This window comes from Homo sapiens, chromosome 17, assembly GCF_000001405.40.
Source record: "Homo sapiens chromosome 17, GRCh38.p14 Primary Assembly".
Classification (NCBI taxonomy): domain Eukaryota; kingdom Metazoa; phylum Chordata; class Mammalia; order Primates; family Hominidae; genus Homo; species Homo sapiens.
In genome coordinates this window covers 80150538-80168550 of record NC_000017.11, presented here as the reverse complement: position 1 = coordinate 80168550, position 18013 = coordinate 80150538, and the positions used below count along the sequence as shown (strand labels likewise).

The 18013-nt window shown below is 46.0% G+C and overlaps 5 annotated features.

The window, feature by feature from the left end:
* Positions 4827 to 5121: a silencer, noted in NCBI's record as "tiled region #5287; HepG2 Repressive non-DNase unmatched - State 22:ReprW". NCBI's record gives its function as "represses a minimal TATA promoter and a strong SV40 promoter by Sharpr-MPRA in HepG2 cells {active_cell/tissue: HepG2}" and the evidence as "EXISTENCE:reporter gene assay evidence [ECO:0000049][PMID:27701403]".
* Positions 12458 to 12995: an enhancer, noted in NCBI's record as "OCT4-NANOG hESC enhancer chr17:78129355-78129892 (GRCh37/hg19 assembly coordinates)". NCBI's record gives its function as "activates a minimal SCP1, AML or CMV promoter by ChIP-STARR-seq in primed H9 embryonic stem cells {active_cell/tissue: H9 hESC(primed)}" and the evidence as "EXISTENCE:reporter gene assay evidence [ECO:0000049][PMID:30033119]".
* Positions 12655 to 12855: a silencer, noted in NCBI's record as "peak3022 fragment used in MPRA reporter construct". NCBI's record gives its function as "represses an SCP1 promoter by STARR-seq MPRAs in K562 erythroleukemia cells {active_cell/tissue: K562}" and the evidence as "EXISTENCE:reporter gene assay evidence [ECO:0000049][PMID:32103011]".
* Positions 15146 to 15645: an enhancer, noted in NCBI's record as "H3K27ac hESC enhancer chr17:78126705-78127204 (GRCh37/hg19 assembly coordinates)". NCBI's record gives its function as "activates a minimal SCP1, AML or CMV promoter by ChIP-STARR-seq in naive H9 embryonic stem cells {active_cell/tissue: H9 hESC(naive)}" and the evidence as "EXISTENCE:reporter gene assay evidence [ECO:0000049][PMID:30033119]".
* Positions 15646 to 16147: an enhancer, noted in NCBI's record as "H3K27ac hESC enhancer chr17:78126203-78126704 (GRCh37/hg19 assembly coordinates)". NCBI's record gives its function as "activates a minimal SCP1, AML or CMV promoter by ChIP-STARR-seq in naive H9 embryonic stem cells {active_cell/tissue: H9 hESC(naive)}" and the evidence as "EXISTENCE:reporter gene assay evidence [ECO:0000049][PMID:30033119]".

Here is an 18013-nt window from a genome sequence, read left to right as displayed (position 1 = left end):
TGCCAGCCACACAGAGAATTCTAGTTACAGAAAACGCAAAGAAATGCCGCCATTCCCAGTAAAAGAGGGGGGCAGAAGAATGCACTGGAGATGGGAGGAGCCTCCCTAAGAACAGAAATAGCCATAGAAATAGTCAAGGTGCAGCCATAGAAAGGAATGAAGGGCCTTTGCAGAGACATGGATGAAGCTGGAAGCCATCATTCTCAGCAAACTAACATGGGAACAGAAACCCAAACACTGCATGTTCTCACTCATAAGTGGGAGCTGAACAATGAGAACACATGGACACAGGGAGGGGAACAACACACACTGGGGCCTATGGTAGGGGGAGTGGAGGGAGAGCATCAGGACAAATAGCTAATGCACGTGGGGCTTAAAACCTAGGTGATGGGTTGACAGGTGTAGCAAACCACCATGGCACATGTCTACTTATGTAACAAACCTGCACATTCTGCACATGTATCCCGGAACCTAAAATAAAATAAAATAAAAAGAAACAGTCAAGGAAGCCACAACCCTGAAGGACCCTGTGTTTTCTGAGGTCAAAAACCATATCTTAGGCTAGGTGCAGTGGCTCATGCCTGTAACCCCAGTGCATTGAGAGGCTGAGGAGGGAGGATTGCTTGAGGCCAAGAGTTCGAGACCAGCCTGGGCAACACAGGAAGACCCTGTCTCTACAAAAAATAATTTTAAAAAAAAGCCGGGTATGGTGCAACATGCCTGTGGTCCCAGCTACTCCGGAGGCTGAGGTGGGAGGATCGCTTCAGCCCAGGAGGTAGACGCTGCAGTGAGCCGTGGTTGCACCACTGCACTCCAGCCTGGGCAACAGAAGGAGACCCTGTCTCAAACAAAACAAAACAAAACGTATCTTAATCACTATGGCATCTTCAGGAGGGCCCCACTGGCAGGTCATCTATATCACACAGAATTGCAGCTGCATACACATATCCAGAGCCAATAAAGCAGCACCTCTAGTAATCTGGCCAGGTTAGGTTAGGGTATCCCTGGAAAAACTCAGAAGGGGGACCTGGGGGACAGGGGCCAGCAGGCACCAGGACAGCACCACCCAGGGGCTCTGTGCCCCGTGGCAGTGATCAGTGAAGAAACGGACATGTGCCAGACTTGGGCCAGCTGAAGAGCTCCTCTGGGCACTTTTTTTTTTTTTTTGAGACAAGTCTCACTCTGTCACCCAGGCTGGAGTGCAGTGGCTTGACCTCAGCTCACTGCAGCCTCCACCTCCCAGGTTCAAGCGACTCTCCTGCCTCAGCCTCCCGTGTAGCTGGGATTACAGCTATGTGCCACCATGCCCAGCTAATTTTTGTATTTTTAGTAGAGACGGGGTTTCACCATGGTGGCCAGGCTGGTCTCAAACTCCTGATCCCAAGTGATCTGCCCACCTTGGACTCCCAAAGTGCTGGGATTACAGGCATGAGCCACCATGTCTGGCCTCCTCTGGGCACTTTATTCATCCATAGAAGGTAGGGAGTTGGGGAAAAGCTTTGCCTTGAAATCATGATGTTGGCACCAGAAGAAGATGGAGGCGTGAGGCCCTAGAAGAATAAAAATCAGACCCTCACAAGAAAACCCCAAGATCAGGAGTTTAGGTTGATCGAGGAAGGGGGCCTCTACCTGACTCCCCTGCCATGGGTGGATGTAAATAAAGGGTCAGGGTGTATAAACAGGGAGCGTATGCGTCTTCACTCTTGTACCTGGGGGCTGGGAGGATTCCAGGACTTCTTCCAAGACATTCGAAACAGGTCCTCAACATCCTAGCTGGAGACCAGAGTAGGTGTCTCTGGCTGGGTGGCTCTGCAGCGTGGCTGGCTGTGGATGAGGATGAGTGGCAGCAGAGACCTCACGCCCACCTCTGGGCCGCAACAGTGCGTGCAGTGGGCTGGGTGGGGAATGGCAGGAAGCAGCTATTTCCATAAGAGCTGGTAAAACTGGTCACTCCTGTTGTGTTTTACAACTGCCTACCTGACAGCTCCACTTGGATGTCTAGACACCTCAAATATAACCCAGCTAAGTCACATCTATTGACTTTTTTCTTTTTCATTTTAAATATTGAGGCGAAATTCACACAACATAGAATTAACCATTTACAAATTTTTTTTTTTTTTTTATACGGAGTCTCGCTCTGTCGCCCAGGCTGGAGTGCAGTGACGCGATCTCAGCTCACTGCAAGCCCCACCTCCCGGGTTCACGCCATTCTCCTGCCTCAGCCTCCCGAGTAGCTGGGACTACAGGCGCCCGCCACCACGCCCGGCTAATTTTTTGTATTTTTAGTAGAGATGGGGTTTCGCCGTGTTAGCCAGGATGGTCTCGATCTCCTGACCTCATGATCCGCCCACCTCGGCCTCCCAAAGTGCTGGGATTACAGGCGTGAGCCACCATGCCCGGCCACAAAAAAATTTTTTTTAAATACAGGGTTTTGCTCTGTTGCCCAGGCTGGACTGCAGTAGTGTGATCATAGCTCACTTCAGCCTCAAACTCCTAGGCTCAAGTAATCCTCCTGCCTCAGCCTCCCAAGTAGTTGGGATTACAGGCATGTGCCACCACATTCAGCTAATTAAAAAAAATTTTTTTTTGTAGAGATGGGGTCTTGCCATATTGCCCAGGCTGGTCTCAAATACCTGGCCTCAAGCGATCCTCCTGTCTCAGTCTTTCAAAGTACTGGAATTACAGGTGCATGCCACCATGCCTGGCTAATTATTTTATTTTATTTTTTCTAAAGATGGGGGTCTTGCCATGTTGCCAAGGTTGGTCTTGAACTCCCGACCTCAAGTGATCCACCCACCTTGGCCTGGGATTACAGGTGTGAGCCACAATGGCCAGCCAAAATTACCATTTTTAAAATGAACAATTCAGGCCAGGTGCGGTGGTTCACACCTATAATCCCAGCACTCTAGGAGGCCAAGGTGGGCAGATACCTGAGGTCAGAAGTTCGAGACCAGCCTGGCCAACATGGTGAAACCATCTCTACTAAAAACACAAAAATTAGCTGGGTGCGGAGGCTCACGCCTGTAATCCCAGCACTTTGGGAGGCTGAGGTGGGTGGATCACGAGGTCAGGAGATTGAGACCATCCTGGCTAACACGGTGAAACCCCGTCTCTACTAAAAATACAAAAAATAGCCGGGCATGGTTGCGGGCACCTATAGTCCCAGCTACTCGGGAGGCTGAGGCAGGAGAATGGCGTGAACCCGGGAGGCGGAGCTTGCAGTGAGCCAAGATCGCGCCACTGCACTCCAGCCTGGGCGAGAGAGCTAGACTCTGTCTCAAAAAAAAAAAAAAAGAAAAAAAAAGAAAAAAACATGAAAATTAGCTGGGCTTGGTGGCAGGTGCTTGTAATCCCAGCTACTCAGGACGCTGAGACAGGAGAATCGCATGAACCCCAGAGGTGGAGGTTGTAGTGAGCCAAGATCTCACCATCGCACTCCAGCCAGGGTGACAAGAGTGAAACTCTGTCTTAAAAAGATAAATAAAATAAAATAAAATAAAATAAAATAAAATAAAATGAACAATTCAAGCCAGGCATGGTGGCTCACACCTGTTATCTTAGAACTAGAACTTTGGGAGGCCAAGCTGGGAGGATTGCCTGAGCTCAGGAGCTCGAGACCAGCCTGGGCAACATGGCAAAACCCCGTCTCTAATAAAAATACAAAAAAATTAGCCAGGGGTGGTGGTGCATGCCTGTAATGCCAGCTACTGGGGAGACTGAGGCAGGAGAATTGCTTGAACCTGGGATGTGGAGGTTGCAGTGAGCCAAGACCACGCCACTGTACTCCAGCCTGGGTCACAGAGTGAGACTCCGTCAAATAAACAAACAAAAAAACACAATTCAGTGGCATTTAGTAAATATACAACATTGTGTGACCACTATATCTAGTTTCGGAACATTTTTACCACCCAAAAAGAAACCACACACCCGTTAAGCAGCTCCTGGTCCAAGGCAACCACCAATCTGCTTTCCATCTCTGGATTTGCCTGTTCTGCACATTTCATATACGTGGAGTTGTGTAATATGTGGCCTCTTGCATTGGTGTCTTCCCCTCTGCATGATGTTTTGAGGCTCTTCCATGTCATAGCCTGTGTCAGTGCCTCGTCCTGGATGTGGCCATATCATATTCCATTGTGTGAACGCCGTGCGTTGTCGATTCATTTGTCTGTTCATGGCCATCGGGCTCTCGTGAATGCTGCTATTGTAACCGTGCAGTGGGTTCATTTATCCCACTTCCCAGATAGAGCCAATTTATCAAGACAGGGGAATCGAAATAGAGAAAGAGTTTAATTCATGCAGAGCTGGCTGAACAGGAGACTGGAGTTTTATTATGACTCAAACCAGCCTCCCCAGAATTCGGAGGCTAGGAGTTTTCAAGGATAGTTTGGGGGCCCTGGGAATGAGTGCTGCTGGTTGGTTGCAGATGCAATGACAGGGGTGACAGTCTTCTTCTGGGTGAGGCCACAGGACACATTGGCAGGTCCAGGTGGAGCCATCAGCTATCAGAAATGCAAAACCCTGGCCAGGCGCAGTGGCTCACGCCTGTAATCCCAGCACTTTGGGAGGCCAAGGCAGACAGATCACAAGGTCGGGAAATCAAAAACATCTTGGCCAACATGGTGAAACCCCATCTCTACTAAAAATAAAAAATAAAAAATTAGCTGGGTGTGGTGGCACACGCCTGTAATCCCAGCTACTTTGGAGGCTGAGGCAGAAGAATCATTTGAACCCGGGAGGCAGAGGTTGCAGTGAGCCAAGATCGGGCCACTGCACTCCACCCTGGGCAACAAGAGCAAAACTCCATCTCAAAAAAAAAAAAAAAAAAAAAAGAAGAAGAAGAAGAAATGCAAAATCCTGAAAAGACATCTCAAAAGGCCAATCTTAGATTTATGCGTACACATCAGCAGAACTCAGGCTCCTTTCATCGTCCTAACTTGGTAGACTTTCATTAGCCTTATGATGACAGTTTAGTTTTGGAGAAGGGCTATTATCATTTAAACCACAAACTAAATGTCTCCCAAAGTGAACTTGGCACAAGCCCAGTTTGGAGGTTAAAGACAAGATGAGGCGTTTCGCTGGAGCCCATGAGGTTGAGGCTGCAGTGAGCTATGATTGCACCACTTCACTCCAGCCTGGGCTACTCAGTGAGACCCTATCTCTTAAAAAAATTAAAACAAAAACAAAAACAAACAAACAAAACAACCAAACTGCACACTTTGGATTCCATGTGGGATTAACAATGGAAGCTACTCCATTTTGGAGTCTGGTATTTAAAATTCTCACTGCGGCTTGGGTTTGCCTCCTGATCAGGGAATCAGTCCCTACTGGCTTCCATTTATTGATCCTTATCCCTTCCATGAACAGCTTTTGATTTCCTGCCTTCTGTCTTTGGGACACAGGGCTTTTGGACCCTTATGTGCAGGTGGTCAGCTGAGAAGCTGAGACCCTAGAGAATACAGCTGAACAGAAATGTGAGTTAGACTCCACTTGTGGCTAGTGAAACTTCACTTTCTTTGAGCTGTCTTTGGGATGGTTCTGGGTCTTATACAAAAAGAATTATCAGCTGTTTGGCCCAGCTAAAATCTGGTAACAAGAGATTTGAAAGGATTTTTTGGGGGGCAGGGGGGACAGAGTCTCACTCTGTCAACCAGGCTGGAGTACAGTGGCACAATCTCAGCTCACTGCGAGCTCCGCCTCCTGGGTTGAAGCGATTCTCATGCCTCAGCCTCCTGAGTAGCTGGGATTAAAGGCATGCACCACCATGCTTGGCTAAGTTTTGTATTTTTGGTAGAAACAGGGTTTCACCACGTTGGCCAGGCTGGTCTCGAACTCCTGGCCTCAAGTGATTCGCCCACCTCGGCCTCCCAAAGTGCTGGGATTACAGGCGTGAGCCACCACACCCGACCGATTCCCTCTCTTTTTAGACCACACGGGGTAACTTCCTGACATTGCCATGGCATTTGTAAACCATCATGGCGCTGGTAGGAGTGTCTTTTTGCATGCTAACACATTATAATTAGCATATAATGAGCAGCGAGGACAGGCAGAGGTCACTTCCATCGCCATCCTGGTTTTGGTGGGTTCCGGCTGGCTTCTTCATCGCATCCTGTTTTATCAGCAAGGTCTTTGTGACCTATATTTTGTGCCAACCTCCTATCTCATCCTCTGACTAAGAGTGCCTAACCTCCTGGGAATGCAGCCCAGTGGGCCTCAGCCTTATTTTACCCAGACCCTGTTCAAGATGGAGTCACTCTGGTTCGAACGCCTCTGACACCTCTGTTCACTTCATTTAAAAAAAATTGTTCTCCCATATACTTTTACTCCGCCCCACTCCTGCTTCCGCTGCCATATTCAGTACCATGTAAAGAGATCTAGAGATTTCTAATGACCCAAACCCCTTAAGGAACTCAGAAAAAAAAGATGCCACTCACCGTTGGTTGGAGGTCTTCTGCTTTCCTTGTGGAGTTTCAAGCACCACATGGAGAGTCTCCTGAGGTCTAACGCTCCGCTCTCTTTTGCACAGTATTACCCGATTTCTTTGGCTTTTCGGAGATACCAAAAATGACCCTGTATTGTGAGAAAACTTGACCGTGGTTTGCGTAATGGCTAGGCAAGAGATACAGTTTTAGAGGTGGCTGATGGCAGTTGCTTACAGAAAATGGTTATTACTACAGGGGGTGACAAAAAGCATGGTTTGGGGCACCAATGAGGTGGGAAATCAGCCGGATTTGTTTTCTGAGCACCGGTAATGACCCTGCTGGTCAAAGCAGGATGCAAACTGGGTGCAGTGGCTCATGCCTATAACCCCAGAATTTTGGGAGGCTGCAAAAGGAGGATCACTTGAACCCAGGAGTTTGAGACCACCCTGGGCAACATAGTGAGACCCCCATCTCTACAAAAAATTAAAAAATTAGCCAAGCATGGTGGCATGTGCTTGTGGGCCCAGGTACTTGGGAGACTAAGGCAGGAGGATTGCTTGAGCCCAGGAGGTCAAGGCTGCAGTAGGCCATGATTGTACCACTGCGATCCAGCCTGGGCAATGGAGCGAGACCCTATCTCAAAAAAAAAAAAAAAAAAAAAAAAAAAAAAAAGCAGGCTTAAATAAATAAAGAAAAAAACCAGCTGAAACCAGCAGATGGAAAGCAAAGTGACCTCCAGTTGCCCTCACTGCTCATCAGCATGAAGACCTTCCTTACGGCACTATGACAGCCTATAAATGCCATGGCAATACCCTACATGGTTCCAGAACTCCCCTACTTCTTTTCTAGAAAATTCAGAATAGCCCACCCCTTGATTAGCATATAATTAAGACCGGGTGTAATTGTGGCTAGCCAGTGCTCCCTTGTTGCAGCTGTGGCTGCCCCTGCTGCTGCTGCTGCTCCTCCTCCTGCTGCTGTTTACTGCTACTCTAGCCTCTCCCTGTGGGTTAGCCCTGCTCTTAAATTATTTCCTGAGCAAAGCCAAGAACTCTCTCAGGCTAAGCCCCAATTTTGAGGTGTGCCTGTGTTACCTAGAGGCTATGAAAACACAGCCCACCAAGGGATACGACTCCACGGGCGATAGGCTGACCACAGATTGGGATAACTGGCTTTGTTTCCGAGTACCCCCATTTTTCTAAAAGATGTTTAATTATTTTTTTCCTCTCTTTTTTTCTCCTTTTCCCAGTTCCTGACTTCCTACTTAGCCCTTTAGGTATGCAAATCTAGCCTTTTCTCCCCTCCTTCACCAGACAGTCCCTCGAGATCCCCCGGCAAGTGCATCTAACTCCTGGAGAGTTAACAGTTGATTTACAGACCAAAGCATGCCTGCTATGGAACTCCCCCATCAGGGAGTGGCCTGGAGAGATAATGGTCTGCCCACAAAAGTGCCAGCAGTCACAAGCTCGACCACCTGATAAGGCACTGGAGCTAGCATGAACCCACTCCTGCCCCTGCTCACTTCCTCCCCTGTCTTTTAGAAGTGCCCACTTTCTGTTCCAAAAGCAAAGTGGGACAGCTAAATGCAAGACAGATGCCTGTGCCACTTCCCCAAGCTACCTTTGGAATAAATAACCTTATTTGTGCCAGGCCTCATTCTAAATAATTGGACTCTGCAAGTGGCCAGCAACTAACCTACTCTACTGTTGAGTTAGAGCTCTGGGTTGCCCACCAGCCTCCAGGGAATGTCCTTACAATGAAATGCACTGTGGGGAGCATCACACCATCCCGTCCCATGACAAAATGAAATGCACTGTGGGGGTATTGCCCGGTCCAGTCCTGTGCTGAAATCAAATGCACTGTACTGTCCAGTCCCATGACAAAATGAAATGCACTGTGGGAGCATCACGCCGTCCAGTCCCGTGCTGAGATGAAATGTACCGTGGGAGGATCACACCGTTCAGTCCTGTGAGGAGATGAAATGTACCGTGGGAGCATCACGCCGTCCAGTCCCGTGCCGAGATGAAATGCACCGTGGGAGGATCACACCTTTCAGTCCTGTGAGGAGATGAAATGTACCGTGGGAGCATTGCACCGGCCAGTCCCACACTGCTCTCTTCTTTCTGGGACCCAGGATTTGGTGTAAAAATGGGATCTTTGATTTTGGAGGATCTGTGCTCTGCCTTCCAGCTGTGCCTGCTTTATGCGTATTTAAAGATTAGGCCCTAAAAACACCATGCTTTCTTTCCTCTTTTCATTAAAGGGCTCTACTCTTCAGGGTAATCTAATTTATCTAGTCATCTAATTAAGAAACAGGCCCTCTCCCTCTCCCTCTCCCTCTCCCTCTCCGTCTCCCTCTCCGTCTCCCTCTCCCCATGGTCTCCCTCTCCCTCTCTTTCCACGGTCTCCCTCTGATGCCGAGCCAAAGCTGGACTGTACTGCCGCCATCTCTGCTCACTGCAACCTCCCTGCCTGATTCTCCTGCCTCAACCTGCCGAGTCATGTTTTTGGAGATGAAAATTTACAGTTCCCTCACAATTGTTTAGGGCATGAAACAGTTAAGAGATTAATAGTCTGAAGTGAGGGAGAGAAACTATTTGAAAAATGGCAAATGAAGAATCTTATGAGTCTATAAGATCTGCTTCTGTTTGTGTGTTTGTATGTCTATGTGTTTACGTATGTCATGTGTATGTCATGTTTCACTACCAAAATACATGAAAGAGCTCTAATTAATTGGCTTAAGGAAAAGGTAAGCACTTAAATCAAATATTTTATCAGAAAAACAGAAACGTTAACTCAAATGAGTTCTAGTTCAGGTGACTCTAGCAATCTTTGGTAAATAGGGTTCTAAACTATTGGTAAAACAGGACAGTAAAATGTCTTCAGAATTTAACTTAGACATTTTTGTCTAAGTCTAATGGTCTGTTTGGTCAGATTCTGTCACCTAAATGTTTTAAAGTCATAAAACTGTTGCTTATTATTTTAATTTTTTGAAACAGAGTCTTTTTCTGTCACCCAGGTGAGAGTTCAGTGGTGAGATCTTGGCTCACTGCAATCTTTGTTTCCTGGGCTCAAGCAATCGTCCCACCTCAGCCATGTGGAGGCATAGCTGCAGGCACTGTCCTTTGTCCTGGGCTCTGCATCCAGCACATTATTAAAATTGCTGACCTTCCAGGTTTTTCTCTAAAAATAAGTGTTACTAAGAGTTCACATCATAATTAATATATGTAATTAAAACTCCAGCCTGGGCTACACAGTGAGACTCCGTCTCAAAAATAAATAAGTAAATAAAACTACTAGATATAAGAAAAACATTTCTATATGCAAAATATATGAGGAAAGTAAAACGTGTTTTTAGTAAAGGAGGTTATAAGAAGCCATACCATTGTAGTTTTTGTTAAAGGGATATTAATTTTGCCTAGTTAAGTTTTACACTGAGGGAATTTAAAAATGATAGATAAAACTAAATGTATATAGAAAGTTGAAAAAGAAAATGGAAAATTGTCAAAGGTTATAAAAGGTTTATAAAAATCTTGTGGTCAAACTGGTTAAGAATGGATGGATTTGTTTATAAAATTTTATTAAAATTAGCTTTATTATTAATAAAACACTAATGCAAATGTAAAATTTGGTTTCCTTTTTCAACAAAATTTTTGTGTAATAAGAGTACACGATGTTTGTTTACCTTTTGAGTAAACTTCAAAAAACAAAACAAAATAGGTGAGGGAGGCAGACAGATTCAGTGGCCTCATGCTGCATTTATTAGTTTTTTGGCTTTTGAATTTTTTTTCAGATGGAGTCTTGCTCTGTCACCTAGGCTGGAGTACTGTGGCATAATCTTGGCTCACTGCAACCTCCACCTCCCAGGTTCAAGTGATTCTCCTGCCTCAGCTTCCTGAGTAGCTGGGATTACAGGCATGCACCACCACGCTTGGCCAATTTTTGTAATTTCAGTAGAGATGGGGTTTCGCCCTGTTGCCCAGGCTGGTCTCGAACTCCTGACCTCAGGTGATCCACTGGCCTCAGCCTCCCAAAGTGCCGGTATTACAGGCATGAGCCACCGTGCCCAGCCTGAATTTATTAGGTTTATGATTGTTTGGGAAACTGACTCTATTAAAGAGTATATAATTTTTGCTTTTTGAAGTATTTCAATTATCATTGTGGCTCAATGACCATTTTACAGTGACCTATGATCCTATTTTGTGATATGAAGTGTTTTAAACCTTTGATATTTGACAAACTATTTTCTTTTGAGCTATTTATAGCTTTTAACAATTGAGTGAAGTATATTCTTGTGAGCAAAATTTGAAGCATATTTCTTTCTCTTCATCTGATGTCTCCAAGTTTGAAAACTATTTGTGAGTATTCCTAATTTATGGCAATATAGTTATTTGCATAAGGTCAGTAAGAATCTGTTGTCTTTCATAACAGGACACAGTTGGAGACACTGATTATTTTACCAAGGCATTGACTAGAATGGCATATTTTAGATATGACTGGACTGTTTTGAGGAATTGAGGTTAACTTATAGAGCTGAAAAAAAGACAGTTGAAAAGACTGGCCTGGTACCTTGACTCAGTGGTTCCCCTGCAAGCTTCCTGACCTGTGTTAAGTAAAGAATGTCATTTTCTGATTAGGCCCAGGAATCTCAAAATATATTTTGAGACCTCTAGAATAAGTCATCCAACTTATACAGGTATCTGTAGGCACAGATAAATCCTTGGCTTGGCTCCCAACTCATACAGGTATCTGCAGGCACAGATAAATCCTTGGCTTGGCTCAAGAGGCTTTTACAAAGTCTGACCTTGGCCAGTCATGGTAGCTCAAGCCTGTAATCCCAATACTTTGGGAGATCAAGGCAGGAGGATTGCTTGAGGCCAGGAGTTCAAAACCAGACTGTGCAACATAGTAAGACTCCATCTCTCAAAACAACAACAACAACAACAAAGCCCAGTGTAATGATATGTTTCTCTCATCCAAGCTACTTGGGAGACTGAGGTTGGAAGACCACTTGAGCATAGGCGTTCAAGGTCATTGTGAGCTATGATCACACCACTACACTCCAGCCTGGGCAACAGAGTGAGACCCTGCATCAAAAATAAATAAGGCCAGGTGCAGTGGCTCATGCCCGTAATACCAGCACTTTGGGAGGCTGAGGTGGGCAGATCTCCTGAGGTCAGGAGTTTGAGACCAGTCTGAGCAACATGGCAAAACCCTATCTGTACCAAAAATACAAAAAATACTCAGGTGTGGTGGCATGCGCCTGTAGTCCCAGCTACTTGGGAGGTAGAGGTGGGAGGATCACTTGAGCCTGGGAGGCAGAGGTTGCAGTGAGCTAAGATCATGCCACTGCACTCCAGCCTGGGTGACAGAGTAAAACTCTGTCTAAAAGAGAGAGAGACAGAGAGATTAAATAAATAGTCTAACCTTATAAAAAGTTCCAGCAAAAGCAACTTAAAAGAGCCTATATGGCCAATTACTATTTTTACTATACTTTATGCAAATAATCGGGCCAAGTGTAATAAGACTAAAACTTATTTTACCAATATATTGGTCTTACTATGATTTCTTCTTGATAACAATGGGAAACTGGAGACAGAAAAATTATGTTTCAAAAGAAAACTACAGGCTGGGTGGGAGGATTGCTTGGGGCCAGAAGTTCAATACCAGCTTGGGTGACATAGCAAGACTTCTTCCCTACAATAATTTTTTTAAAGAAAGAATACTATAGTTCACTTGTTGTTAGTTTCCAGCCTTGTCCATTGTTTTTTCAGTTTTTATTATTTTCTACAATTTGTGATGAATCCTCCATTCTTATCTGGCTACAAATCTCCAAACTAACATTTTCAAAATCTTCTTCCATCTTTCTGATGTGGACTGAATGAAATTGCTACCACATTTTCCCTGAGGCCTTGCAAGCTGAAGCTCATACTATCAGGGGAACCAGCCTCCAATAAATATTTCAACGTAGGTTCTTTTCTATTTTCCCTAAGTATTGGCTGGTCTGAGAAATAAAGAGAAAGAGTACAAAAGACAGAAATTTTACAGCTGGGCCTCTGGGGGGTGACATCACCTATTGGTAGATTCCGTGATGCTCCTTGAGCCACAAAACCAGAAAGTTTTTATTAGGGGTTTCAAAAGGGGAGGGGGTACGAACAAGGAGTAAGTCACAAAGATCACATGCTTCAAAGGGCAATAAAAGATCACAAGGGCAGAAGGGCAGAGCAAGATCACAAGGCCAGGGTGAAATCAGAATTACTGATGAGGTTCCATGTCCCACTGGGCATGCATTGTCTTGACAAACATCTTAACAGGAAACAGGGTTTGAGAGCAGACAACCGGTCTGACTACAATTTGCCAGGCTGGAATTTCCTAATCCTAGCAAGCCTGAGGGCACTACAGGAGACCAAGGTGTATTTCATCCCTTATCTTCAACCACATAAAACAGACACTCCCAGAGTGGCCATTTTAGAGGCCTCCCCCTGGGAATGCATTCCTTTTCCAGGGTTATTCCTTGCTGGGAAAAGAATTCAGCAATATTTCTCCTATTTGCTCTCTGCAAGAAGAAAAATATGACTCTGTTCTGCCCGGCCCCGCAGGCAGTCAGACCTTATGGTTATCTTCCTTGTTCCCTGAAAGTCACTGTTACCCTGTTCTTTTTTAGGATGCCCAGATTTCGTATTGTTCAAACACACGTTTTACAAACAATTTGTGCAGTTAACGCAATCATCACAGGGTCCTGAGGGGACAGACATCCTCAGCTTATGAAGATGATGGCATTAAGGGATTAAAGTAAAGACAGGTATAGGAGATTATAACAGTATTGATTGGGGAAGTGATGTCCATGAAATCTTCACAATTTATGTTCAGAGACTGCAGTAAAGATAGGCGTAAGAAATTATAAAAGTATTAATTTGGGGAATTAATAAATGTCCATGAAATCTTCACAATTTATGTTCTTCTGCTGTGGCTTCAGCTGGTCCCTCCATTCGGGGTCCCTGGCTTCCTGCAACAGGCTGAAGTTTTTCTTTTAGGTTAAAATAGAGATAAGATTGATCAAACAGACTCTTTGTGGCAATAAGATACCAAATTATAAACAAGACCTAAGGCCATGGCAGGCAAAGGCTGATTCACACCCTACTAACCATAAACCCTTGTCAAACTTTTTTTTTTTTTAATTAACCTGGTACAATGTGGCTTCCTTTCCAAACTGGTTCTGGATGAGCACACATGACAGAATGGAAATAAAAATATTTTTCTGTGAAATATATTTCTTTGACATATTTTGGAATGGCACTGCAAAGCTGTCTTTCGGCTGGGCGCGGTGAACTCACGCCTGTAATCCCAGCACTTTGGGAGGCTGAGGCAGGTGGATCATAAGGTCAGGAGATTGAGACCATCCTGGCTAACACGGTGAAACCCCGTCTCTACTAAAAAATACAAAAAAGTAGCCGGGCACAGTGGCAGGCGCCTGTAGTCCCAGCTACTCGGGAGGCTGAGGCAGGAGAATGGCGTGAACCTGGGAGGCGGAGCTTGCAGTGAGCCGAGATTGTGCCACTGCAGTCCAGCCTGGGCAACAGAGCGAGACTCCATCTCAAAAAAAAAAAAAAAGCTATCTTTTGTGGGGGAAATTAATTTGCATCTGTAGAGAATGTCCATTAACATATCCAGGCCTTGCCTGGATCTAGGAGAGATTTGCTGACAGCTTGACACCTTTAAAGTCTGAAAAGAGACATTTGCCATCCATTTTCTCGGAGGGCTGCTAGAAACCTATGAGGCTTTCATTTACATAACAAGGGCCTTCACCCCCACAACTGCCTTAACTCAAGCATTCTTTTCTACTTACTTCAGGTCTTTAGACGGTAGCTTAACTCTTTTTGACTCCCCCAAAACGTAATATAAATAATAGCTTAACTCTCTCAAATGGCAAGTAAAGAATCTGTAAAACCCACGTATGACTTGTAAGCCCCTGCTCTGGGATAGCCTGCCGTTCAGGCTGAACCAAACGTATACCTTCCATGCACTGACTTACATCTTTGCCTGTAACTCCTGTTTACCTAAAATGTATAAAAGTAAACTGTTACCAGCCAGGCACAGTGGCTACTGCCTGTAATCCCAGCACTTTGGGAGGCCAAGGCGGGTAGATCACCTGAGGTCAGGAGTTTGAGACCAGCGTGACCAACATGGTGAAACCCCATCTCTACTAAATAGAAAAAATTAGCCAGGCGTGGTACTGCACGCCTGTAATCCCAGCTACTTGGGAGCCTGAGGCAGGAGAATCGCTTGAACCTGGGAAGCAGAGGTTGTGGTGAGCTGAGATTGTGCCACTGCACTCCAGCCTGGGCAACAAGAGTGAAACTCCATCTCAAAAAAAAAAAAAAAAAAGGAAACTGTCTCACGTGTCCTTGTGAAGAGACCACCAAACAGGCTTTGTGTGAGCAACACGGCTGCTTATTTCACCTGGGTGCAGGCAGGCTGAGTCCAAAAAGAGAGTCAGCAAAGGTGGTGGGATTATCATTAGTTCTTATAGGTTTTGGGATAGGCGGTGGAGTTAAGAGCAATGTTTTGGAGGGCAGGGGGAGGATCTCACAAAGTACATTCTCAAGGGTGGGGAGAATTACAAAGAACCTTCTTAAGGGTGTGGGAGATTATAAAGAAACTTCTTAAGGGTAGGGGAGATTACAAAGTACATTGATCAGTTAGTGTGGGGCAGAAACAAATCACAATGGTGGAATGTCATCAGTTAAGGCTATTTTCACTTCTTTTGTGTATCTTCGGTTGCTTCAGGCCATCTGGATGTACATGTGCAGGTCCCTGGGGATATGGTGGCTTAGCTTGGGCTCAGAGGCCTGACAGAAACTGTTACCTGGGTACCTTGTGACCACTTAAGGCTTTTTGGGTTTGTGTTTTTTCCAGGCCACAGTCACTTCTACTGGTTCAGAATAACCCTCTTGAAAACATTTTTACAGGGTCTGGTTTTTCTGTTAACACTGCACGTGTGCTAGACTCTGACCAGCCAGTGCAGGGTCTGAGAGTCAAGACAGCAGTGAGGTGAGTTCAGGCAGCGCTCAGCAAGGTGCCTTGCCCCAGCCAGTTGGGTTTAGGCAGGGCTGTGCCTAGAAATGAACAGTGTTCACCCTTTAATACCTACGGATGGGTGGAGACTTCTGGCAGGAAGTCACTTTTAGGGGATGGTCCCTTGGATCAGATCGAGGTCACTTCTATCTAGGACATCAACTCCTGCAGTGATGAGTTACAGGAACCCAGTGCAGCCCAGCAGCACTGCCCCTGAGCCTCCTGGGCAAGAAAAGCCACCTCACCCTTTTCTACCTGATTCCTGGGAGCCGATGAAGGTAAAGGAAAAGGGACAGGTCGGCTCTGGAGGGTGGCAGACCACTGGGCTGTTCCCATTGTCACAGGGCAAACCCCCAAAGTAGGACTCAGCCTGTGAGACCACGTGGGTTCCTGGCTTCCCACGGGAAGGAACTCAAAAGTGAGCCAACAGAATGAAGTGAAAACAGGTTTATGAAGGAAGTAAAGGAATAAAAGCGTGACTACGTCATAGGCAGAGCAGCCCTGAGGGGTGCCAGTTGGCTTTTATGGTAATTTCTTAATCGTATGCTAAAAAGGGGTGGACTGTTCATGAGTTTTCCAGGAAAGGGGTGGGCAATTCCCGGAACTGAGGGTTCCTCCCTGTTTCAGACCACATAGGGTAACTTTCAGGGGTGGCCATAGCATTTGGAGACTGTCATGGCTGGTGGGAGTGTCTTTTGGCAGCTGATGCGTTATAATTAGCATATAAGGAGCAGTGAGGACAGGCGGAGGCTGCTTTCATCACCATCCTGCTTTTGGTGGAGTTTGGAGGCTTCTTTACCACATCCTGTTTTATCAGCGGGTCTTTGTGACCTCTATCTTGTGAAACAAGTCCTGCCAAATTCCTACCTCACCATCTCCCCCACAGCAACCTCCTGAGCTCACAGCGCTCCTGGCCAGCTGGGACTGCGTTGTGTCCCTCCCTCTCTCTTGCCCCAGAGGTCCACACATTGAGTAAGCCAACAACTATTTATTGAACACCTACTGAGCATTAGGGAAACAGTGGGGGCGAAACAGACATGACCCTAGCAGCCGCATTTAATGGGGTGAGTAGTCTCCCTCCCCAACGTGGAAACCATGTGGGAAGTGAGATGCCGGTGACAGCGAGGATGCTGAGACCAGGCATAGGGGTCTGTCTACCTCAGTGACCGGGAGCCTCTTTTCCTAGACACCTTGGGGGCCAGGGACAAAGGGCAGGCACTATAGCTACTGTTTAGGGAACTCTAGAGCCTGGCCTGCTTGTGCCTTTCCCTGTAGGGCGCTTGAACTTATCACACTGGGCCTTAGTGTCTCCATCAGTAAAAGAAAAAAGATACCTATCTGCATTCTCTACTTATGGAGATAATGGAGGTTTCCCATAGGAACGGAAACATTTATCCAGAATTTTAAGCAGGGGACTTGTGGATAGAAAGCTAAGCGAGGCTGTCAGCTCTCATTTTTTAAGTAGATGTTATGCATAGCACAACAGAGCTACACAGAGCCGACACTTTAACAAATCTGGTGCATGACTCACAAGGCATGTTCTCAAGACATGGCTGACACGATCCTAACTGCCTACCAGTAATAAACAGAACAAGGGGTTTGGGATCCTATTGATGCTAGGGCATCTGCTGAGCACTACATAGGCCATGGAAAAGCACGCACCATATTTCACAGCAAAAACCTCTTCTCCTGAGAGGAGCTCTTGCTGCTCTCCTACATGACAAAAACATGAGTCTCCTCCCATCTATTCACCACCTACCCACACTGCGTTTTCTAAAGCCTTTTTGGCAACAGGGATGGGTTTTGTGGAAGACAAATGTATTATTCCATTTTCATACTGCTATAAAGAACTGTCCGAGACTGGGTTATTTATAAAGGAAAGAGGTTTAATTGACAGTTCAGCATGGCTTGGGAGGCCTCAGGAAACTTACAATCATGGCAGGAGGTGAAGGGGAAGCAAGGCACCTTCTTCACAAGATGGCAGGAAGGGAAAAGTGCCAAGCAAAGGGGGAAGAGCCCCTTATAAAACCATCAGATCTCGAGACAACTATCAAGACAACAGCATGGGGGACTCATCCCCGTGATTCAATTACTCCACCTGGCTTCTCCCTCGACACGTGGGGATTATAGGGATTATGGGATTACAATTCAAGATGAGATGTGGGTGAAGACACAAAGTCTAGCCACGTCAACAACTTTTCCACAGGTGGTGGAAAAAAATTCTTCCAGAGATGGATGGGGTAGTGGTTTCGGGATGAAACTATTCCACCTCCCATCATCAGGCATTAGATTCTCATGAGGAGTGCACAACCTAGATCCCTCGCATGTGCAGTTCACAACAGGGTTCACACTCCTCTGAGTCCAGTGCTGCTGCTGACAGCAGGCAGAGCTCAGTTTAGCTCCCTTGCTTGCCTCCTGCTGCACCGCCTGGTTCCTAACAGGCCACAGACAGGTGCTGATACTGGTCCGTGGCCTGGGGTTTGGAGATTCCTGCTCTAAAAAGTGGATTTACCCTCATCATC